General features: G+C 42.9%; 1 pseudogene, besides 5 other annotated features; it reads left to right on the forward strand.

Moving 5' to 3' along the window:
• Positions 3,300-3,682: a transcriptional cis regulatory region, noted in NCBI's record as "candidate enhancer chr11.4679 targeted for multiplex CRISPR interference". NCBI's record gives its function as "positively regulates PICALM gene expression with high confidence in K562 cells {active_cell/tissue: K562}" and the evidence as "EXISTENCE:mutant phenotype evidence [ECO:0000015][PMID:30612741]".
• Positions 8,226-8,276: a transcriptional cis regulatory region, noted in NCBI's record as "candidate enhancer chr11.4680 targeted for multiplex CRISPR interference". NCBI's record gives its function as "positively regulates PICALM gene expression with high confidence in K562 cells {active_cell/tissue: K562}" and the evidence as "EXISTENCE:mutant phenotype evidence [ECO:0000015][PMID:30612741]".
• Positions 10,972-11,482: a transcriptional cis regulatory region, noted in NCBI's record as "candidate enhancer chr11.4681 targeted for multiplex CRISPR interference". NCBI's record gives its function as "positively regulates expression of the PICALM gene with high confidence and the EED gene with lower confidence in K562 cells {active_cell/tissue: K562}" and the evidence as "EXISTENCE:mutant phenotype evidence [ECO:0000015][PMID:30612741]".
• Positions 10,972-11,573: a biological region, named in NCBI's record as "CRISPRi-validated cis-regulatory element chr11.4681". NCBI's record gives its function as "regulatory_interactions: EED | PICALM".
• Positions 11,073-11,573: an enhancer, noted in NCBI's record as "H3K4me1 hESC enhancer chr11:85862408-85862908 (GRCh37/hg19 assembly coordinates)". NCBI's record gives its function as "activates a minimal SCP1, AML or CMV promoter by ChIP-STARR-seq in naive H9 embryonic stem cells {active_cell/tissue: H9 hESC(naive)}" and the evidence as "EXISTENCE:reporter gene assay evidence [ECO:0000049][PMID:30033119]".
• On the forward strand, positions 12,934-13,041 carry RNU6-560P (RNA, U6 small nuclear 560, pseudogene; annotated as a pseudogene).

The raw sequence follows: 25,136 nt of genomic DNA on the forward strand, positions 1-25,136 counted from the left end.
GAGCAAGACTCTGTCTCAAAAAAATAATAATAATAAAAATTAAAGACGAGGGGCATAATTTCTCATATTTTTACATTTGCTCTCCCCACCCTTGTCTCTTTTATGTCTCTTTCTGCTGTTATAAAGAGTGCATGCTGTCTATGCAGCGATATTCAGAAGGCATCATAGAATGACAGTCATTCTCTATTCTCCAGCACAGTGCTTTTGGGGTCAGCTGACTCTACCCAGGCCTGCAGTACTGAAATGAGGCTCAGATCAGGGTGGTGTCTGTGTCCACGGGAGATCTGTTCTCTCGATTACATATCGATTCCCATCCTACCATTTCCTCAGTTTGACACTAAGCTGGATGCTCCCAGCCATCCCCAGTCCTCAGACAACTGTATTTTTTCCCTCTAGTTTTATTTATTCGGCACCAAGGCCTAGTGGCACCGACATGGCTGCAGGAGTCAAGCCTGCAGTTGGTCTTTGAAAAACAGGGAGAGTGTGGGCGAGTGCATTAAAGGAAGCAAAGCTCTGGCAGCAAACCAGCTTCTAATCTTGACGCCACCCCTGGTTCTCTTCTTTTCTTTATCATTTTAGGCTTGTGGGTCCCAGATCTCCATATTTGCCTTCTGGAACTGCTTTAGCAATAAGAAAAAAGATGGATGAGGGAATTAGGGCCGAGTTACTCCAGCCCCATGAAGCACTCCAGCACCAGGAAGCATAACCTGAGGCTCCATCACGTTTGGAGCTGCCTGCCTTGCAGTGGCCCATCCCTCTCATGCAGAGGGCCTATTTTCAGAGTCACAGAGGTAGGGAAAGAGCCAAAGGGCCAGAGTCTTTCTGAATATGTGGGCTTTGGGAGTACAAGGTGCCCATCATCAGATTCCTCTCAAACCCGTGGCTACTTGCTTGCTCCCATCCCAGTAAACATTGTCGCCATCCACCAGCTGCCCAAGTCAGAAATCTAGGAGTTGCTTTGGACCACCTTCCTTTCTTCACATGTCTCATCCAAGTATACACACAATCCTACTTACTCTACTTTGTAAAAGTGGCCCTTGAAGCCACCCACTTCCCATTTCCAACTAGTTGAGACAAATATGCTCTTCTGTCTCTATAACTGGTATCCCCCAAATATGACAATTGTTTAAATGCCTGGTAGTCCCAAATAACAGCAAGAGAGCATAAGGTCACACAGACAGTCAGTGACACATAGATCCAGAGGGGAGTGCAGGCTTCCTGATTCCTAGTCCAGCACTCCTTCTGGATTTGTTCATTTGTTCAATATGCTGTATTGAGCCCTTAAGAGATGCCAGTCACACTGCTAGATACACTTATCTCTGGGGTTTCTCCAGGGTCACCTCTGGGGTGACTTCCCATATTGGATTATGGTTTTCTGCCTGTTATTTTATGTCCCTTTGCTCCGGCATATCACAGAGTAGGGCATCCCTCAGGCCCCTGCCGGACCTCTCATCCTAGCAATCCACAAGTTGGCTTCTGTGTGGTTTACTCACAACAGCTTCTAAGCTGTGGGGCCAACAGAAAATACACACATTGAGGCATTTCTCCAGAGGAAGAAACTATGTGAGTCAAACATTTAAGCCACAAGTAAGTGCAACTATTTCCCTCTAGACCAAACTTCTGTACATAGGAAAGGGGAACAGGAAGGTTGATCTGGGTTCAGTTTTCATTCCTATCTCACTCCATGACATCTTGGGAAGGAGGAGCTCACAGCATAAGTCCTTAGCATATCCAGAATTCCACTGATTCATTTAACACATGTTAATGAAGGTGTGCCATGTGCCAGGCATCAGCATGGGTTCTAGGAACCCAGTGCTCTGTCACACAGATGGAGATTCTGTCCTAGGGGATTTTGTAGACTCACACAATTGGACGTAACCTACTACTTAGTTTCCTTTTAAATACATTCATTTTTTAATGCCATATTCACAAATTTCAAATAAAGGATTATAGAATCATAGAATACAGGAGACACAAAGGAGATACTCATTTAACCCAATGCCTTTCTCCTCTTAGTCAATGTTTAAATCTCTTTCCCAATATCCCTCTCAAGTGATCATGTGATTCCTCCTTGGACACCCACAATGACAGAGGATTTACTGCCTCCAAGGTGATCTATTCTATTTCTGAACAGCAGCAAGGGTTAAATGTTCTTCCCTGTGTGAAGCCAAAATCACTTTCCCTAAAACTTGTATTGCGTTCTGCCCTTTGGGCCTATACAGGACAAGACAGTCTCTTCCATTCTGAGTGGGCCCTGGCTATGTGAGGATGGTTGTTACAGTGCCCAAGTATTCTCCAAACATCTCCCCTTGATGCTCCCTCTCCCCTTGAACATGGTTTTGAGCTCATTCTCTAGTCAAATGGCCAACAGAGCCACCCTCCCCTGCCCAACTCTGTGGAAGGAACTTCACGTAAACAATATTTTCCTTGATTCTCCCACATTAAGTTCAGAGATCATGCCACTATAGAGCATCCTTCTCTCACCTCTACAATACCCCATCACTTGTGTAACTCTGTATGTACCATTGAAACAAGCAGGCAAACTAGAGCTAATAATATTGAGCTTTCAGGGTGGCTTTGATTAAAAGAGATAATGAATGTTGAATCAAATACTGAACAAGTATTGATTGAACACTCATCCTACACTGCACACTGTGCTGAGCTCCGTGTGTGACACCATTCTGAGGAAGATAGAAAAGGTCTCTAACCTTACGGAGATTTTAGCCTAGATCCTGAACATAAGCCCCTCTCCAGGGCTTGTACAGTTTTAACCAAAGGTGGGGGTCTTCAGAAGCAAATCTCCATGACCTAAGCTGAAAGCTCAAAAATGGTACCATTATGATGGTCATCATGATGAACTTAGATACGACCATATTAATGCCAATACAGCCTTTAGATGTTACAATTTCCCTGTGAGAATAATACTTTTGGAAACCTAAGAAAGTCCATAGTGGTATTTCTAATGACTAACAACCATGGTATCAACTATGGCCTCATTTTTTCCTACTAGAAACTCCGTATTTCCCATAAATCAAGGAGTTTTATAATAAATGACCTGGGTTAGCTTCTACTGAGCGACTATTCTAATCTGGATCACTTTTCCTACCTTGGTCAAACCAAATGTGAGATTTTAGGGCAAAGCAGCAGTTTTATTGAGGGAAGTGCAGTTGCACTTACAGGCATGGTGCCAGGCGCCTTTCCTCCTTCCACTGTCTGCTATAGTCATTATCCTGACCACAGTTCTCTTCGGCCACCATCTTATTCGGCATGCTACAGTTGACAGAATTTGCATCCAATATTAAAGAGGCTTTCAGCTTTTCCAAAAGCTGTGCCTTGGCTTCCTTATCATTTCACATTACAGCTTGCACATTGTTTGGTCAGGGAACTGATGGGAATGGAAGTTATTTACTGAAAAATAAATCACCTCTTATTTCAGTTGAAACCACTGTTCTTCCTGTTTCTCTGTTACTGTCAGATAATCCACCATCTTGGGTGGAGTGTGCATGAAACCACTACCTAACATATGACCAGGGGAGGGAAGTGACCACAGGATATCACTATCTGTGTCAGAAGAGTGGCAAATGTTTAGCAGGAAGCACTTCGCATTTACTGGTACAGCAGAGTTGTATATCTGGGAAGATGGTCCATGGCCACCATGTTACTAGGATGAGAGTTAAGGTCTCTTTCATTACACCTCATCCACTGCCCCTATATACTGACAACATTTATTAATACTATCTACGCTTTTGGATATTAATCATAATTTTTTTTTTGAGACAGTTTCACTCTTGCTGGAGTGCGATGGTGAGATCTCGGCTCACTGCAACCTCCACCTCCTGGGTTCAAGTGATTTTTCTGCCTCAGCCTCCCGAGTAGCTGGGATTATAGGCACGTGCCACCACACCCGGTTAATTTTGTATTTTTAGTAGAGACGGGGTTTCTCCATGTTGATCAGGTTGGTCTCGAACTCCCAACCTCAGGTGATCCACCCGCCTTGGCCTCCCAAAGTGCTGGGATTACAGGAGTAAGCCACCACGCCTGGCCTATTAATCATAATTTTATCCATGTGGCTAATATCTACAATTAGCCTGGCATTGTGCTTGACACTTTATGTACTCTATCTCACTCAATCTGCACAACAAATCTTATGTGGTAAGCATGATTATTCTGTTTTCATATGAGAAAACTGGTTCAGAAAGGGCAAGTGGGTTGCTCAGGGTAACTTTAATAAGATTCAGGCCCAGTGTGGTGATGCACAGAGCCTGACATCTTTTCACTCTCTTACTTTACCACCTGGTACGCACAGAGCCTGACATCTTTTCACTCTCTTACTTTACCACCCTGTACACATGAATCCCAATCCAGAAAAGAGGGGGCCTCTCTCAGAATGTCCTTCCTCCCATACTTGTTCACTCCCTCCCATTATTTGTGTTTTTATCTCCTACACAGGCTTGCAAGTTCTGATGAGGGGAAGATGCCATTCATCTTTGTAGTCTTCCAGAGAATAGAATACGATAGTGTCTCAAAAAATGCCAAGTGAAAGCACACACACAAACCAGAATATAACGCTATAGCTGGAATTTCCGGCTCCTAGTTCAAAATTGCAGAAAGACTTCCTTCTTAAGTATAATAATGAATCTAATCTTATGTAGCCTATGTGATATTAATAGTAGCCTTGCAGTGACTGAACAGTAAAACCTCTTTTTCACTGTGGCTCCAAATTGCACATCCTCTTGGTGTCCAAAGCCAAAGAGAATAAAAATCCTCCCACCCATAGTGTGCCAGTCAAAAGTAGCTGAGTCAAGACATGCAGTTTCTCAAATATGAATAGAAAAACTTTCTGCTCTACATCAATAGGAGAAGCTTCCCCAGAAGCACAAGAAACTAGTGAGAGTCATTGTGCAAAGAGCGTAAGAGGAGAGATCTCCTCTTTATATACAAAGCTGGCTTTGCTGGGACCAGATGCAGATTGAGAGGCAGTGTTCTCAGTCATTAGTATTTAAGACCCTGACACCTGAAAATCATCATTCCAATTAGAATGGAAGAAACATGCAAGAAATAGGTGCACAGGGATCAGCAAGCCAAGAAAGAAAGAGGACTGGGATGGCAATAACTCTCCAAATTTATGGAGGGCTTCCTATGTGCAGGCACTTACTTTATTAGTTTTAGTATTTATAACAATTTGAGGGGTAGATCTATTTTGCAGATGTAGAAATGAAGCTGTAGAGCAGTAACCTGCCCAAGTTCTCCCTGTTGGTAAATGTAGAGCTGAGAGAATTGAACTCAAATGTCTGACTCCAAAGCCTAAGTGCTTAACCATTAATGCTAATCATTAACCACACTTAACTAACCATTTCATCTTTTCCTTGGCGAGCAGGGACTAGAGGTTACATACTAGAAATCCACTGCATATTCTTTATTGGCCTTATTTACATTATGAAAAAACTAAATGTACAGTTCTCATTCTGTAAAATGGATGCAGTCATTCAAAATTAATCTTTTTGTTGTCAATTTCAGTCCTGGGCTAACAACCTCCCCTAGATAATGTACAGAGACATCTGGACTCAGTGTCTCCACATTGACAATTTTATTCAAGAAACTCATATCCAGAGCGGCCAGCCAGATAAGCAGCAGCCGTTATAGGCTTGAGCCTGATAAAAAATGTTGCTTGAGGCCGGGCATGGTAGCTCATGCCTGTAATCCCAGCACTTTGGAAGGTCAAATCCGAGGCAGGTAGATCACCTAAGGTCAGGAGTTTGAGACCAGCCTGGCCAACATGGTAAAACCCTGTCTCTACTAAAAATTAGCCAGGCCTGGCAGTGTGCTCCTGTAAACCTAGCTACTTGGGAGGCTGAGGCATAAGAATCGCTTGAACCTAGGAGGCGGAAGTTGCAAAAATGTTTTTTAAAAAGCTACTTGTTTCACTTATATTAGTAGAGTGGATTATAGTCTACCATGCACTTCATATCTATTATTTCATTTGATCCTCTGAAGAATGTTATGAGATAGATAAAATAAGTAATATTATCCCTATTATATATATGAAGAGGCTCACTTAGAATTACAAAATTAGAGCCGGGTGCAGTGGTTCACACCTGTAATCCCAGCACTTTGGGAGGCTGAGGCAGGCAGATCACCTGAGATCAAGAGTTCGAGACCAGCCTGGCAAACATGGTGAAACCCCATCTCTACTAAAAATACAAAAATTTGCCGGGCATGGTAGCAAGCGCCTATAATCCCAGCTACTTGGGAGGCTGAGGCAGGAGAATCACTTGAACCCAGGAGGCAGAGGTTGCAGTGAGCTGAGATCGCCCCACTGTACTCCAGCCTGGGCAACAGAATGAGACTCTGTCTCAAAAATAAATAAATAAAATAAAATTAGAAAGTGGTGGAACTGGGACTGTAGTTCAGGGGGACTTTGAGTTCAGGTCCTGATAATCCAAAACCCAAATAAACAAACTTCTAGCCCTTTAGAAATATGGATGGAACCATGCTCAAATCTTGACGTTATCACACAAGTCTATCAGCTTCACACATCACTATCACATCTGCCAAATAAGAATGAGGATATCTGCTTTGCAGGATTGTTCAACTAAATGAGATAATGTAGGTAAAGCCCCTTCAATAAAGTAGTGAACAGAACAGACATGGATCCTGTCCTCCTGAAGTTTATAGTCTGGAATCAGGAGGTGGCGATTAAGAAGAAAACATTCAATAATACACACTTAACTATCAAGTTATACTAATAAAAAGTGTCATAAGGGAAAAATACAGAGTGCTATGCAAATGTGCAGTGGGGTGACATAACTTAGAGTGTGGTCCAGAGAGGCTTCCCTAGGCAGTGACAGCTAAGCTGAGACAAGAGGATGCAGTATAATAAGCCAGGTGACATGGGGAAGTGTGAGGCCATGGGTGTGGGTGTCGGTTACAGCAGAGAGCGTTCCAGGCATAAGAAGCATTTTTGAAGACGTGTGGTGCCCATGAGAAACAAAGAAATTACTTGTGGGGCTGGAGTGTGAAGAGATCCAAGAAGAATGATGTGACAGGATGTTGGTGAGGTTGGCAGCCTTCATGGCATGTGGGGCCTTGCTGGTCAAGTTTAAAATTTTGAACTTTATCCTAACAGCAATGGGAAACAACCAAAGGGATTTAGGCAAGGGGGCAACATCAATAGGTTTGAGCTTTACAAACTTCCAATTCCTGACTAGGGAAAGTTGGGATCTTTTTAAAACTTTTCCTTTGGCCGGGAATGGTGGCTTATGCCTGTAATCCTAGCACTTTGGGAGACTGAGGCAGGCGTATCACCTGAGGTCAGGAGTTCAAGACCAGCCTGGCCAACATGGCGAAACCCCATCTCTACTAAAAATACAAAAATTAGCTGGGCGAGGTGGCGGGCGCCTCTAATCCCAGCTATTCAGGAGGCTGAGGCAGGAGAATCACTTGAACCAGGGAGGCAGAAGTTGTAGTGAGCTGAGATCGTGCCATTGCACTCCAGCCTAGGCGACAGAGTGAGACTCCATCTCAAAAAATAAAAACAACAACATCAAAAAAGCCCCTTTTCTTTATTTTTTTGAACAAACACTTCCTTAGTACCTCTTATATTGCAAAGACAGCAATAGGCTGTTTGTTTCAAATGTAGAATCTGAAGACTTAGAATGGGGCAAGAACCAACATGTCCCTTTAAGGAGCTAGAACATGTCACCTCAAAGGCTCCCTCCACTTCTGCCACCTAACGCAGTTGCTTCTTACTCTAAGCAAGAAGTAACCTCCAAATCCTAAAAGTACATTAAGAACCAGTGGGACATTTCTGGGAAGCTCATTTATTTATTCTTTTTGTTGAGCAGACAAATATTAAGCATCAACTATGTACCCAGCACTGTACTGGGTGCTGAGGGTACAGGATTGATAAGATGGAGGTCCTATACTTTAAGAACTCATGGTTTGGGGTTGAGGTAGGCCAGAAAAATAACAATCCCAACAAACTAGAATCTGTTACAAGAGAAAAAGCCAGGAGGGAGTTGCTCACAGAACCTAGAGTGAGGAAAGCTTTAGAAGAGGTGATTAGCACCTAATATATGCTCCGTAGCTGCATACTGAGTAAATTTAAGTTTGAGCTGAGTCTTGAAGATGAGGGGAAGGTTAGCAGGGAGAATAAGAGGAGTAGGGAATGAACAAGATCACACATATCAGAAGAGTGTCTTTTGAGATTATTTTATCAGCAGTAAACTGGATGGGTTGAAAGGGAGAGATTATAGGCAAGGAGGTCAAGTAAAAACCTGGAGCAGTGATCCTGCTGAAAATTGAAGAGGACTTCATGTGCACTCAGCAGTAATTGGGACTGTGCTCAGTTTGCCTAACCTTAGCTTGCTCTCAGTGGTATGGTGCACGGCTTGTAATTGTTATTCGCATCTCCCCATGAATGCATGCCTGTTCTCCCTCACTAGGGTGGAGACTGTCATTGACTGAAATCCTTATAACACTTAATTCTGTACCCTGCACCCCATGCATCCCCATCAAAAGCTGGGTTGATGATTGGATTCCTCGAGCTGGCGTGGGAGTGGGAGAGCTGGAACAAGGGAGCAGGGAGAGGAAGGGAACCAGGGCTGGCAATGAGGGTCAAAAAGCATTTCATGTTATCTTAAATTTTTTTCACAAGTGTAATGATGCCTTTATGTGTTCATGACTTAATTAAATAGTTTTTTTTAAGGTAATAAAATCATTAAGAATATGCAGTATTGCTTTTCACTGCTTTTCTATTTTTCCTTTTCCTTTTTGTTTGTTTGTTTGTTTGTTTGAGATGGGATTTTGCTCTGTTGCAGGCTGGAGCACAGTGATGCAAGTATGGCTCACTGCAGCCTTGACCTTTCAGGCTTAAGAGGTCCTCCCACCTCAGGCTCTTGAGTAGCTAGGACCACAGGGGTGGGCCACCATGTCCAGCTAATTTTTTTTTTAGAGATTAGGGTCTCACTGTGTTGCCCAGACTGGTCTCAAACTCCTAGCCTTAAGCAGTCCTCCTGCCTGAGCCTCCCAAAGTGTTGAGATTATAGGCATGAACCACTGTGCCATGCCCAGTAGTGCTTTTAATAGTGAAAAGTTTGAATTACCTAAATATCCAGCAATAGAAATATTACCAAATCAATCATGATACAATTTCAATGGCAGAATTTAACAAAAATAATGTTGTTGAGGTATGTTCACAGATATAAAGAAGTTAGTATTTTATAGTTCCACTTAAAAGTAAGTAGATATTAATTACTATATTCTGAATTATCCCATTTTTGTTAACAAATATATGCACAAAAAGGTTTAAGATACCTTTATATAAGAAGTTTATGTAGTTTCTACATCAGCGGGATTCTGTTGTGCTTTCTTTTACTTCTCTATTTCCTAATTTTTAAATAAAAAATAAATAATAAGAAAACCCCAATTTTTAAAAATGTTAATGAAATGAGAAAACTGAACTAGGAACAAAGAGAGTAAGAAAGCTAAGAGGAAAAAATGTACCATGGTGCCATGGTGGATGGGGATAATAAAGAAAGTAGAGAAAAGACGTTCTTGGAATTGTTTTTTTTGAAAGAGATTTTCTTATTTTCCATAAAGTTAAGGGGAAAAATATTTTTGTTCTCAGAGTTTTTCAGTGTGCTTTCCAAGCCATCAAATTCCTAAATATAACCAAAGTTGATGATTTTACAAGTAAGCCAATATAAACATAGTAGATGTTTATATTTCAACATTAACAACGTGACATTGGAGCTGCAAAAGATCTTCCCAATTGGCCATATTTTATTTTTCTCAAAAGTTTCCATTTTCAGTCCCCTTTTAAAATACATCCAGTCCCCCCTCCCCACCCCCACTCCACCCCTTTGTGGCTTTAAAATTTCAAGAAAAGGCAGAACCAGATTAACATAGTAAAACTGGGGACAGAGCATGTGGAAGAAAGGAGCAAGAGGGAGGTGGTAGAAGGTTACGCATTTGGGGAGGAAGAGGAAGAGAAGGAATTTTTGCAGAGCCTTGCCTCAAAGAGGTACTACTCAAACTTAGTCAAATCATGTAGGCTCTTGTTAAAATGCAGGTTTTGATTCCGCAGATCTGGGTGGGACTCCCTGGTGATACCCATGCTTACTGGTCCATGGACAACTTTGAGCATCAAGGCCTTAGACTCTGGGACTTTGCTCTTCCACCCTGGTCACATTTCACATGGGCAGCCTCTGGCTGTGATAACCTCTTTCTTTCTAACCTAATAGGGTTTTATTTTATTTATTTATTTATTTATTTTTTTGTCAAAATACCAAATATTGGAAACTTTTCAGAAAGTAGTTTAACCATGAGCAAGGTACAGTTCAAGGTACTCTCCATGGAAGAGAGTAAAATGGGAAATACAATATGGAATGGGTAGAAGCCCCTGATATACGAATGTTATTTGTTATAAAGGGCGTGGTGTTGTGGAAAAAGCCCTGGACTGGTTGTCAACAAAACTGGCTTCAATACTAGTGATTACTAACTAGCTATATGCCCTTGTGCCAGTCATTTTTCTCTGGTTCTCTGTTTCCTTTCCTGTTAAATAAAATAATTGGTCTACATGGCTTCTAAAATCTTTTCAGTTCTGACACTTGAAGAATCTATAAAGGAGATCCTATATCAATAGGAAGGGAGGGAAAGGGATGTGCCACCACACGCGCAGCTGCCAAGGATCCTGTACATGTGGTATTACTGTGGTGGAATCTCCCATTTGTCTGCCCAGATGCAAAAATGTTATTGGAGTGAGAGACTGGGAAACTTGCCTGGTATGAAATCCTAGTACCCCAACTTCCTGCTTTTGGCAATTTAGAGTCTTGGGAATCAGTCCCAGCCCCTATAAAATAAGGCAGACCCTGTAAACATGCCTTCCAAGAGCCTCCAATGTAGCTCTGACAGCTTTCAAATTCTAAGCTCCTCAATCCTCCATTCTCAGGCCACCCTCAGGTTTCACCTCATTCCCCTGTACTGGTCAGCAGCCAAATTCTGCAGCCTCTTGAGCTTAAGGTCCCAGCCAAAAAGCCTGACTGCCCTCCTACTTGTGAACAAATCCCAATTCTTGAAGCAACCCCAGCCCTCCCCAACAGACTCCCTGCTGAACCCTGAGTCTCCCAGATACTCAAACTTAGTTCAGCCCTGTAGCAATCAAGCCTCAGGGATTTGGGCTGGCTGGAAGCTGACACTTCTCTGTTTAAGATAGTCCCATCTGCAGAGTGAGGATCAGCCCCTAAATTGATAAGCACAGGGTGGGAAAGCGACCTGCCCTAGTGAGATTACCCAGACTCTAAAGTAAGGTCCTGCAGCTCCACCTCATACCTCCATGGACACACACTCTTTGGCTTTTAAGTTATGAAACAGACCTGTTGCTATTCTAAGGAAGTCTCACAAGTCACCATATAAACATGCCAGCTTCAGGCAGCTTCCTGTGGTTTGCCAAAAACCAGCTGGGAAGGCAGCCAGACTCCCGCCACCGTCCTGGAACCCCCTCCTCTAGCAGACATTCACTCAGGGCATGACCTCCTGAGGTGCCCACTTGGGATGCAGGAACTTAGTGGCTGCTAGAGTTGTTATTTTTCCCTCCAGCCCCAGCCTGGGCTGGGCTGAATGATGTGGCTGGCTGGTACAAAGGCTGCTTTTTATAATGTTCTTCTTTGGTATTTTTGCTGTCTGGAGAGGGCTTCCTTTCCTCCCACAGTTAATTAGCAGCATCAAGCATTTCCCTTTCTCCAAAAGAAGTCTGTTCCCACCCATGAGGCCAGGCAGAGGAGGTGGCAGGTGTGGCTAAATGCCCCCTGAGGTTAACCTCAAACTTAAACTTAGAGCCCTACTTGGTTAGAAGTGATGTGAAATGCAGGGCTAGCTTCCATTCTGGGCAGAGTCGGCAAGTGGGCACACGTCCCTGGCAAGCTAGCATCCCAATCAGGTGAGGGGACAGAGAAGGGGGTGGGGAACCAATGTGTGTTTGACACATTTGTGAATTGTTTCTACAACAAAGACTTTTTTAAAACAACAGAGTGAAGCTTTATATATTTGAATGAGAAGCACACAGAAGGACCTATTGTCTGGAGGAAAAATTGCATGAGTAATTGTGCATGACTTCAGACTTCCCAGTTGAAATGTTAGGCATATTAAGGATGATTGAGGGCATTCCAGTGTTTTCAGTGTGGAGAAGAGGGAGGACAGAGCTCCCAGGACTAGGGGAGGGAGGCAGGTTGTGTAGCAAGACAAGGGAGGAAGGAATCTGAGGAACTCTGTACCCCACTTTGCTCTCTGGTTTCCATTTTTCCTCTATTTAATTGAACTGCCACCTCCTACAGGAAGCCTTCCTGACCCTATCTCCTTCCTCCACCTGTCACTCTAGGTGTTCTTCTTGATACATATCTCCTGTCTTTTCATTATTTACTTGACTATGATACTGTGGATGGGCCATAGAAAAGAGAGGATGGACTCCAGATGCCACTTCCTAGATGTGTTACCTTGGACAAGTTACTTAGCCTCTCTGTGCCTCAGTTTTCTTGTCTATAAACAGTAATACCTTGTAGGGTTGTTGAGAGGATTAAATGTGTTAAAACCCATAAGGAACTGAGAATAGTGCCTGACATACAGTGTGCACCCTCAATAAATGTTAGCAATTATTTATTTTTATTTGCATCCCCTCTTGTTTGCACAGGACCTAATATATCATGGGGCAGCTGTGTTCAACCCTCATATGCATCTTAATTGCTTGAGGAGCTTTAGAAATGTACAGGCCTGGCCTGGGCTCCATTAATCTATGGGTGAAACCTGGTAATGGTATTTTGGAAATGTTCCCTGGGTGGTTTTATTATGTAACCAGGTTGAAAACCAGTGTCATAAATGCTCAAGGAATATTTGTTGAATGAATGAATGAACCAAATGGGATCAGAAAGAACAAACCCCATGCTGGCTTCGGCAGCACATATACTAAAAATTGGAATGATACGGAGAAGATTAGCATGGCCCCTGCACAAGAATGACACACAAATTCATGAAGTGTTCCATATTAAACATATATATAGAGAGAGAAAGAACAAACCCAGGTTACCCCATCTTTAGGAATGTGAAGGCATGATGATTCTGTCTCCTTCAGAAAGTTGATTCTTCCTGAGACAGGTTTCAAGAGAAAAATATGACAGAGAATATAATGGAATACATGAAAGAAAGAATCATAATCCTAGTCATCTCAACATGAAAGTATTGAAGAAATAGAAAAACAATTGCCTAGAGCTCATATTAGAGATCAACAGTTATTTTCTCTTGCTCTCCCTTCTGTGTATGCAGATTTATTTCCTGGAGTTGCTATAACAACTCTAGCTAGAAGGTGAACTTTGACTTTTCCTCTAGTTTTAATTTCGATTTGCTACTCAATCTTTAATTTAGAGGACATAAAAATTTATCTCAAATAAAGCATTTGCACCACTCTAATGTATATTCATGCATGATGATAGCATAATTATAATTAACTGCTTTACCTAGTTGGTCCACAAAATTTAAACTGATTACTGCTTGTAGAACATTAAGTCAGGCACCTCAAAATGGAAATAGGAAACTAGGCCGGGGTGGTGGCTCACACCTGTAATCCCAGTACTTTGGGAGGCCAAGGAGGGCGGATTGCTTGAGCTCAGGAGTTCAAGACCAGCCTGGGCAACACAGGGAAACCCTGTATCTACCAAAAATACAAAAATTAACTGGATGTGGTAGCATGTGCCTGTAGTCCTAGTTACTTGGGGGGCTGAGGTGGGAGGATCACTTAATCCCAGGAAGTCAAGGCTGCAGTGAGCCATGAAGGAAAATTAAATTTAAGAAAAGAAGATGCTATATACAAGGAACAGTGACAAGGTGAGAAACTAGCAAACCTACAGTTGTCTAAGTAGTTTTTGATGCCTAATATTTAAAAAGTTAGTAAAAATCTTGCATTAATTCCCAAATGAAGAGAACGGGAAATTTTAGAAAATAAAAATACTTAAATATAGGAATAAATATTCTTCATGACCTTACTAAACAACAACAAATAATGGGAGAGATGTACCATTTCCTGAATGGAGGATCAATAATGTGAAGGTGTCATTTCTCCTCAAATTGATCTAAAAGGCTGGGTGCGGTGACTCATGCCTGTAATCCCAGCACTTTGGGAGGTAAAGGTGGGCAGATCACTTGAGGTCAGGAGTTCGAGACCAACCTGGCCAACATGGTGAGACCCTGTCTCTACTAAAAATACAAGAATTGGCTGCCGTGGTGACACATGCCTGTAATCCCAGCTACTCAGAAGGCTGAGGCATGAGAATCACTTGAACCTGGGAGGCAGAGGTTGTAGTAAGCCAAGATCACACCACTGCACTCTAGCCTGGGCAACAGAGTGAGACCCTGTCTTAAAAAAAAAACAAAAATTGATCTATAAACCGAATAAAATCTCAATTAAAAAACCAGAAATATACAACAAAAATACTATAAGCAAAAGTTAAAGAGTGAAAAGGACAGATTACTTGCCAATTATACAACAGAAGATTAATATCCTTAATACATAAAGAGTACTTATCAATGAATATAAAATACAAATTAAACTATTAAAAAATGAAGCAAGGAATTGAACAGTTAATTAAACAGAGGAAGAAATGTAAGTGGTCAATAAGCATATAACAATGTTCAGTCTCATGGGTACATAAGGAAATGTAACTTAAAATAAGTCTGAAATATTTTTAGTCTTCAGGTTGTAAAAAATGAATAAACAATAAAATCCAACATTAGCAAAACTTCAGGGGAAATGACACTCTCAAACTCTCTGGGAGTATCAGTTGTTATCACGGTTTCTAGAGAGCAACTTGGAAGTATGTATCAAAATTTTCCATTTCTAGCTATCTAACCTGGAGAAAAGTTTGTAGAAGAGTCCATTTACACTGTAAATTAAGTAAAAAATAGAGAGAACACCAGGAGGCTCCCATAGCACAGCCAGTAAACAGTGCCAACACTGGAGTTAAAGTGCTGTGGTTCAAATCCCTGTTTGGCTACTTACTAGTCCTGGGGCTTTGGGTGAGATTACCTTAGCTGCTTCAGCAGTCAAGTAGGGATGACAATATGCAGTACCTATTTCATAGGGTTATTCTGAGAAACATTTTGCATGCCAGGTGCGGTGGCTCACGCCTATAATCCCAGAACTCTGGAAGGCAGAGGCAAGAGGATCGCTTGGGGCTAGGAGTTCAAGAACAGACATGCAAAGGGCTTAATGCCAGGGATAAAATACTTCCCTGTGCCATGGTAGTCCACCCCTCTCTTTCCCAAACCCCTAACCGTGTATGCCATTGCAGGTTCCTAAATATGTAAGTGCGTAGAGAAACTTATGGCAGAAACTGATAGCACGGTAACTTACAGAAGAAGGTGGGGTTGAGTGGGAATATGTAAGATTTTTACTTTTTACTTTCTACTTGTTTATTTTAAAAACATTTTGCAGGCCAGGTGCAGTGGCTCATGCCTATAATCCCAGAACTCTGGGAAGCAGAGGCAAGAGGATCGCTTGAGACTAGGAGTTCAAGACCAGGCTTAGGCAACATAGTGAAACCTAGTAAGGCCCTCGTCTCTTAAAAAATAAAATGCAAAGAATGTATTCATTTATTTATAATCACTTGTGTAATTAAAACTTGTTAAATTTGACAGAAGAAATAGGATGGTAGGCAAAAGTATTTATCCCAGGAAGTTAGAAAAATGGAATATGATGATAGCATATATCATGTCCTAGATATTTTAGATGATGGAATATGGGTTACGTACAGAGACTGGGTTTTCAGAACTAAAAATCAGAACCCAATGTCTACCAAAGGATTTTTAGTATAATTTCTGTGTAGGAGAGGCAGCCTGGATCATTCAGTCTGGATGCCAAAATAATGGACTTTCTGGAACAATCTAATGGTTTATTATTACAAATAGACTGAAACTGGGCCTGTTCAAAAATTCCCAATCACATTCCGTTTTTGGATCCTGTTGGAACTGAATTCCTCCTGACCCAAAACCTCCTGACCCAAAACCTAGCATTCAGCCTGCCTTATCCTAACTCCCCTAGGTCCAAGGCCTTGCAGATTTCCTCCCTGTGAGATCTCCCAGGAGCCCTGGCAGAGCATTCCTAACTTCTCAATTGCTTCTGTGGCATCTCTAGGCACACTGTCTGCCCTCACCTGCTAGGGAAGCTACTTTCCTGTCTGTGTCATCCCCCTGGTTCCTCTATGACCAGCCCCCAGCCCCCAGCCCTAGCCTGGCATGAAGCTGAGCCAGCTCAGGCATGGCCTGGGCTTCTGATACCAATCCTGCTGAGGTTAGCACAGACAGTCCCAGACACAAGGTAAGCTGAGGCCGTGAGAATGAATTTCTGGGTAACAAAAGGAGGAGGGCGATAGGGCCAGAGATAGCAAAAAGAGTTTGCCAGGAAACCAGAGACACGGGTGCTGAGTGGAAAAGAGAAGTTGGAGCAGGACTCAATGAACATCTTGAGGCCACTTAAAGGAAGTGGGAAAAATGTAGAAGCAAAACATACACAGCAGTGTTAGCTGTAAGTGTGAGAAAGGATGGCCTTCATCTCATCAATTGATGATGTTGATCATCAATGATCAAGGTAAACACATGGGTTCATCCCTGAGAAGATCAAAACAAAAAGCTCCAGTGCGCCCCAGAAGGTTCTGCTGGGGAACAGGGAAAGAAATGAGTCAGAAAAACCTGCTTCCCACCCTGGCTGTGTGACGTGGAGCAACCGCCTTTACGCCCTGAGCTTTTCCAGCAAGTTGGGTTCCTTCTAAATATTAAATGTGTTTGGATAACTAAGGCTCTCAGTCTGCTGTTCAGTAAATCTGAATTTCTTTCTTTTCTTTTTTTTTTTTTTTGAGACAGAGTCTTGCTCTGTCGCCCAGCCTGGAGCGCAGTGGCGTAATCTTGGCTCACTGCAACCTCTACCTCCTGGGTTCAAATGATTATTGTGCCTCAGCCTCCCAAGTAGCTGGGACTACAGGCATGCACCACCATCCCCAGCTAATTTTTGGTCTTGGTAGAGACGGGGTTTTGCCATGTTGGCCAGGCTGGTCTTGAACTCCTAACCTCAGGTGATCCGCCTGCCTTAGCCTCCCAAAGTGCTGGGATTACAGGCCTGAGCCACCGTGCCCTGCCGGTAAATCTGAATTTCTTTCTTTTTCCATCAAAATGTTGATGATGATGAAAACTCACCCCAGTCTCTTGCTACCCATGTCATCCTCAGTGTCAGCAGTCAACACACCATATAATAGTTGTGATAGATAATATTTACTGAAGTGTGTATTGTTTGCAGGCTCTGTTCTGAACCCCTTGCAGTAGTAAACCTCACAATAACCCTATGAAGCGGGTAATAGTATTCTTCCTAGTTCACAGATAAGAAAATTGAAGCCCAAAGAAGTTTAGTAATTCGCCCAAGCTGAATAGCTAATAAAAGGCAGATCCAGGATGAAAATCCAGCTCTAACTGCAAAACCCATGCTCTTTACTACTGCACCATATGCCTTCCTGACAGTAAGGCAGAAAATAGAAAAAAAGGTAAAACAAGGGAAGGTCCTAGCAGAGATACTGAGGGAGACTAAGAGGAGGCCTCTGATCCTGGGTAGGAGCAGCTGTTGAAGGAGGCTTCCTAGAAATCTCCCATTTGACAGTGGGATCCAGGGGGGAAATGCCACTGCTAAGATGAAGGAGCAACCTCCTCCCCTCCTGTGGGACATGGGGGATGGCATCTGAAAGGAAGCTGATCATAGATATAACCTGTGCAAATAAAGCTGTAGGCTGGGGCACTGCTTCATGTTATGAAAACATCTTGCAGTAAAGGAAGGTAATGTGGTAATAAGTCCAAACAGAAGGGTGATGGGTTGGCAGGCAGTTTGAAACAAGCCAAGTCAAAGTTTGTCCATGTGTCTCTAGCTCTGCCTACTCTGATTTCAAGTGTTCTGTCCTAGTTCCGTAGGCAAAATCCCTGGCGGGAGGAAAAGGGCCTGAAGGAGATGCTTCCTGGAGAAAGGCAAAGCACAAAACAAGTAGAAGACATTATTCCTGTTAATGTAGTAATGCCGAGGATACTAGAGGTTTTCATTAAAGTTACAATCATTGCCACCATTTTCATTTATTCACTCACTCATGTATTTATCCAGGATTTCCTTATGGAGAATCTCCTATACTCCACGCCCTCCACTAGATGCTGGGACATAATAAATGGTCTCTAGGAATTTTCGATCTAGTCAAGAGACAATAGAGAGTGGGCTCTTCCAACCTGATCGGGTAAAAGCACTGCTGTCAGTGAGGGCCTGCCACATGCAAAAACATGAGCCTTCCTGCAAGGAGGTGATGTGCCAGTGGGGAGTAAGGAAGTACCTCCTACGATATGCAAGACAAAAAGGTCCTTTGGGAAGTAGTCCAGCTTTCTCAGTGTATGGAGAAGAAACCCATGAACCTGAGATACAAACAGGATAAACTGCAAATCAAGACTCCTTAGGGTAAATACCAGCTGAATGGCACCATTGCAAGTGCAGCAGGAGTTTGAGGGAGACAAACATCACTGTGAGTCGAGGAAGGCTTCCTGGAAGAGGTGGGACTTAAGCTAGGCTTTCCTGGAAAAATAAGGGGTGTGTGTTTGTGTGTGTGTGTGTTTGTGTGTGTGTGTGTGTGTGTTTGTGTGTGTGTGTGTGTGTACACACAGGCATGTGTATGTAGGGAAAATACCTGGCTCTTAGATGTTGGGCAAATTGTTCCTTAAAGCTGTTTAATTTTTTTATCTGTTTTTTTAGTCACCAAAAGTCCCTCAGATCTGCAATTGTTTGTTTGAGAAGATCTACCGCTAGATATGATATGATTAGTTGCACAGGCTTTGGAGTCTGATAGGCCTGGGGTCAAATCCAGGCTCTGCCATTTTCTAGTTGTATGACCTTAGTTTCCTCATCTGTTAAATGGGGATAATTACACTTATCATAGGCTTATTATGAGTATTAAATAAAATATGCAAAGCACATATCATAGGGCCTGTAACTCAGGAATCACCTAGCCTAATTCCATAAACATAATTATTTACCTGTATTGAGCCAATGGCATTTTCAGTGTCCTCTGAATTTATTTAAATTCCGTTAATTTTTTCCATCCAACTGTTAGGCACAGTGCCAAGCATCATCCTGGATGGTAGACACAGTCATGTGCCAGAGATATGTTCCTTGCCCACTCAGGGCAGCCTAGAGGGATATCAGACACATAAGCACATGATTGCAGTACAGTGTGAGGTGCACTATTAACAGCGGCAAGTAGTCGTTATTGGTGGTCATCTCTGAGTGGTCTATGGACTTGAAAGGCCATACAAGGGGCCAGTGGGGCCTGACCTCACCAGGATGCAGCTGCTCTGGAAACCCACCAGCAAAGTCATTATCACTTCTGGACAGCTCTAAGTCTGCTCTGTATTATTTACAATGTCATTTTCGTTTAATAGCAGAATAATCTAAATAGAAAAAAAATGTTCCCTCTTAATAGCCCAATATCCAGCAGAGACTGTGAGAAGCAGTAAAAATGCACCTGAACTTAAGCTTCAAAAAACTTTTCCTGGCTCCTCTTCTCTTCCAGTATGTTGGGTACCTTCGACAGCAAGCATTCCAGGTGGCTCCCAGTGAGCCCCACCTCCTGGTTTTCACACCCTTGTGTAGTCCCTTCCTGCTTTGTACCAGGGTTGGTCTCTGTGACCAATACAAAATGGCAGAAGTGAAAATGGCAGATCTCATATGCTGCTTATGAGATTAGGTTGTAAAAGACACTACAGCTTCCTCTTGGGGGCTTTCTTAGATGGGCTGTCTCTTTTGCATATCTCTGGGGAAAAGCCGTCTTGAGCAGACCTACAGAGAAGCCCACATGACAAGAAACTGTAGCCTCCTGCCAACAGGCATGTCAGTGAGCTGGGAAGTAGATTTGTCATCTCTAGTCAAGACTCAAGTCTCTAAAAATTGCAGAAGGCCAGGTGCGGTGGCTCACACCTGTAATCCCAGCACTTTGGGAGGATGAGGCTGAGGTGTGCAGATAGCTTGAGCCCAGGAGTTCAAGACGAGTCTGGGCAACAAAGTGAGAGGGAGACCCCATCTCTTAAAAAAAAAAAGAGAGAGAGAGAGATTGCAGCCCACAGCTTGATTCCATGAAAGTTCCATGAAAGGCCCTGAGCCAGAACTATCCAGCTGAGCCATTCCCAGATTTCTGACTCTCAGAAATGATACGAGATAATAAATGTTTGTTGCTTTAAGCTGCAAAGTTTTGAGGTAATTTGTTTTGCAGCAATAGATAACTCACACTATGCCCTTCCTTTGTGCTTCAGGCATTCTGCCCCTCCCCTGATATGGCACATACCACACTGTGTTGTATTTACTCATGTACTTATCTCTCTCCTCATCAGACTGCAAGCTCAAAAGAGATCATGTCTTATTGTCTTTATATCCTCATCACATGGCACATGCCTGAGCCATACCAGGTGGTCAAAAATATTTGCTGGATGAATAACTTGCATTTGTATTGCACATTAGAACTGACAAAGCATTAGTGTATTCATCTTCTTCCATAGTCTTCAGGCAACCCTAGAAGGTAAGTACTGATATCCTATTCCCATTTAACAGATGAGGAAATTGAGGCTTGTCAACTCACTTGAATATCTCATAGCCAGTAATTCATAAAATGAGGACTCAAACTTAAGTCACTAAGTTCCTAGTCTATGCCCCTTCCTCTATACCAAACTGTTTTTCATTTAGCTTGGTGAAGGTAGGGGTGGGAGAAAAACTAATCTGAAGAATGAGGTGCAGTCCAATCATGGATGGAGCTCCAAAGAAAGGACAATGGAGAAGAAAATTACTCACTTTTGAGTAGGCCAGGCCTCTACAGGCCTTCATACATATGTTCAATGTCTTGTTTAATGTTCTATTAAATGTCTTGTTTAATGTTCTATTAAACAATCTATTAACCCTAAAATAGATTGGTAACTTTTATTCCTCCTTCACAGACGAGAAAACCAAAGTATGGTTTCACATCTGTTAAATAATAGAGCTGGAACTCAAGCAAATGTATTCAGACTTCTAGTCCAAGTAACTTTTTCTAAAACCCAAACTGCTTCTCCTTTTCACAGTACTGGACAGCTGGATTTGGGCTCCAGATCTAATCCCTGATTCCAGCAGGAAAACACATGCAAAATATCATGGAGTCTCAGACAATGAGCAGACTCTGTCTTATGTAAGGATTCTACCTGGGGCTATGTCCTATCTTCTCCTGTGCTGAGCTCCAGTCACTGTTTCTCCAGCCTAAGGTCAAAGGTTTCACAATATCTCTTTTATTAATGAAAAACAAAAAGTGCAGTTGTGCTTAGAGTCAGTTTCAGTTTATACATCTTTACAAGAGGAAAATAATTGCCATGATGATTAAATGAGAAAAAAAGGTGTATGTAAGATGGCTGGTACATAATAGGTATTCACAAGCATGTAAATACACTTCTCCTGGCTCTCGCCTATATGCCTATGGGACATTTTTCAGGACAAGAGCACACATCCTTTTGTGAGCCTCTGTTCTCCACATAAACTGAAGTGTTAGCAGCAACCATGGAAAATAGAGGAAGAGGAAACTTCTGAGGGCTCTGTGCACAGTTTCCAGCCTGAAGGGAGCTCTGCAGTGGGATTTCTGCTTTAAGTCAGCTGCACAGGGGCCTGGAAGGCTTCTACCCTTGGGGGGAAAGTATGCCGAGGAGCTGAAGAACATCTTTCAAGAAGAAGCCCCAGCTGTTACGTGGGCAGTAGTAGAGAGTGGCTGGGGGGCTGCCTGAGGCCATGCTTGGTTGGGTAAACTTGGTCTGTTCACTTCCATCCAAGAGACCTTTCACTTTGAGGGCTCAATGATTAGAAAAACATCCCAGAAGCCAATAATTTCTCATTCTCCAGAGAGCCAGGAAGCATTTTCTGGGCTAGATATCAGGACAAACCCATGAATTGTGAGAGGTTCTCTCTGCTGAGAGCTCCCTCTGATCCCAGGAAATGGAGTGCTGGTTCCATGTGCTAGAAGACACAGCTTCCTGCCAGAAAGAGGATCTGGGCCTCATCTCCATGTGTGCCAGCATTCAGATGCGGCTGTCTGGGCTTTCATGGATGAGTCATGGCAATGGCCAGACCTCAGCTGCAAGTTGGGGTGAGCCTGACTCTCACAGTCCTAGTCAAAGCAGTTCAGAGCAATTAAACAATCAAATGGGAACCTACTAGGTGCAGGCCTTTGGGGAAGGAGAGCTATTGTGGAAAGGTCATGAGTTTTGAAGTTTTGAAAGAAAGGGGCTTCAATGTAAATATTAGCTTTACCACCTACTAAGTATAACTTGGGAAAGATACTTAGCTTCTTTAGACCTCAGTTTCTTTATCTTTAAAGTAATGGCGGTAGTAATATTTAATTAATTAATTAGTTTTGAGATAGGGCCTTGCTCTGTTACCGAGGCTGGAGTGCAGTGGCATGATCACAGCTCACTGGAGCCTCCACCTCCCTGGCTCAAGCAATCCTCCCTCATCAGCCTCCTGAGCAGCTGGGGCTACAGGGGTATACCACCGTGCCAGGCTAATTTAAAAAATTTTTTTGTAGAGACTTGGTTTCACTATGTTACCCAGGCTGGTCTCGAACTCCTGGGGTCAAGCGATCCTCTCACTGTGGCCTCCCAAAGTGCTGGGATTACAGGCATGAGCCACTGTGCCCAGCCAGTAAATAGCAGTAATAGTAATGGTAATGTGGGCTTTGCAGGGCTGAGATAAGAATTAAGTGTTGTTACCAAATATGAAGGGGACAGAATAATGCCTACTGTCTGATCAAGGCTCACAAAGCCCAATCTTAGAATTAGATTTTATATATAGAGAGAGAAGTGAATAACAGTCACAGTTAGGGAGACAGTTCAGGTAAAATTCAATATAACTCATTTGATTTTATTCAAACAGCATATATTGTAGAACCTTCTCAGTGCTGGCAACTAATAATGGCCCCTGGCCTAGAGGAACTCAAGAGTTTTGCAACTGAGATAGATGGATGAGTAAGCAAATTTCCATCAGGGTTATAAGGGATCTGACATAAACAAGAGAAAATTCTATGGGAGCAGAGTGGAGGAGGTGCTCACACTCACTGAAGGAGTTAGAAGAGGCCTTGTTGAGAAAGCAACTTCTAGGGCTCCACTGTCTGGGTCTTAAAAGATGAACAAATAGGAGCTCGCCAGGTGGAATGACTGTGGAAAGTTGTTGTTATTGATGCTTTTTTTAGACAGAGTCTTGCTCTGTCACCTAGGCTGGAGTGCAGTGGTACAATCTCAGCTCACTGCAACCTCCACCTCCTGGGCTCAAGCGATTCTCCTGCTTCAGCCTCCCAAGTAGCTGGGACTCCAAGTGCCCACCACCATGCCTGGCCAATTTTTGCACTTTTAAAAGAGATGGGGTTTCACCATGTTGGCCAGGCTGGTCTCAAACTCCTGACCTCAACTGATCTGCCTGCCTCGGCCTCCCGAAGTGCTGGGATTACAGGTGTGAACTACCGCGCCAGGCCAAAAGTTGTTCTGATATCAGAGCCCATGTGTAGAAGAAACACAAAGACATGAAAGAGCTTGGTTAGAGGAATGGGGCCATGGAGTAATGGATATAAGGAACTTGACAAAGGATGACCAGTCTCAAAGGATGACCTTGCTTGACTGCAGAGAAGCTGGACTTTGCTCTGGAGGCAACAAGGAGATTTTAAAGCAAATAACCAAGATGATTAATTTATTTTCAAGAAAAATAACTGGGTGGAGGATGGGTGCAAAGGGGAAAGACAGGAGGCCAGAGAGTGGAAGCCTAAGGAGATAAGAAGCTCATCTAGGTTACATAATCGGGAAGTTGAAGTGGGATGGATCAGGAAGAGAAGCTAGACCTCTTGGCTCCTAGTTTGAGCCTTTTCATTAGATTGGTCCCCATTCCACAACTTTGAAACCTGCTTACTAAGCAAACCCTGATCTAAAATTACAGTGCTTCTGTGAACAGGAACATAAAGCAACAAAATTGCAAGTAGGTTTGAATTGGACTAAAGCACCTGTTTTTTTAATCCATGGTTTGCCACAGCTTTAAAATATATTTAGCATTTTTCTTGGTACTCACCCTCTAAGGTCTGTCTTACAAGGCGAATGCAAACTCTTACTGATTTGGGTCAGTCATCCATCCGTCCATTCAATCCATCTGTCTATCTATATGTCAGTCCACCTACAGACATGTATTGGCAGCTACTATGTACTTAGTCTTTGGTTAAGTCCTGGGAATATTGAGATGAAAGGCAGTTTCTGCCCTCAGAGAGCTCACAGCCTAGTGGGGAGGGAGACAGAAAACTAAATAGACAGGGACAATCCAATGCAATGAGTGCTGATCCACGGAGAAGGATGTGCTTATTGCTATGGGAGCTCAGAGCAGGGATACCCAACAGTCTGAGCCATCAGGAAAGGAGGGGACACTTGTGCCAAGCTTTGAAGGGCAAAGAAGAGGGCACAGATGTATTCTAAGTAAGAGGAAGAGCATATGCTCTTTGGGGGTACAGTGCAGTGGTGGGAGTGATTATAATTTGGGAACCCAGCAATCTTCCTAGTCCTGAAGCCAAACACATGCTTTGCCTGTTTTAATTACACAAACCACATTAATTCAGATCTTAATTTATGGCTTCCCTCTGGTATACAAGGCTGCAAGCCAGTGCCCACTTTCTCCAAATCACCAAATAGGTAACATTTGTTTGGCATTTTCTGACCATCTTCTTTTAGTGCCTGTCTCAGGACACCACCCATTTTTGGCTCCAGTGCCTTAAGTTGGTCCTCCAGCAACCGAGAGCCCGCTTTAGCCCCAGATGGGCAGTGGCCCAGGTTTCCAGTCTTTGTCTGTTCTCGCTCACTTTCCTATCAAGTCTTAGCTTGTGGGTCAAATTCTGCCCAGCTTACTCTGTGAAACTGGAAGGCTATTGTTCATTCTACTTTCTTAATTACCACTAGCCAACTTAAAACATTCACCCTGTCAGAGATATCCACACTCAACATTGTCTTTGCTCATGTACTTGTCCCCTGTGAGGACCATGTTTCCACTATGC

This window comes from Homo sapiens, chromosome 11 (assembly GCF_000001405.40).
Source record: "Homo sapiens chromosome 11, GRCh38.p14 Primary Assembly".
Classification (NCBI taxonomy): Eukaryota; Metazoa; Chordata; class Mammalia; order Primates; family Hominidae; genus Homo; species Homo sapiens.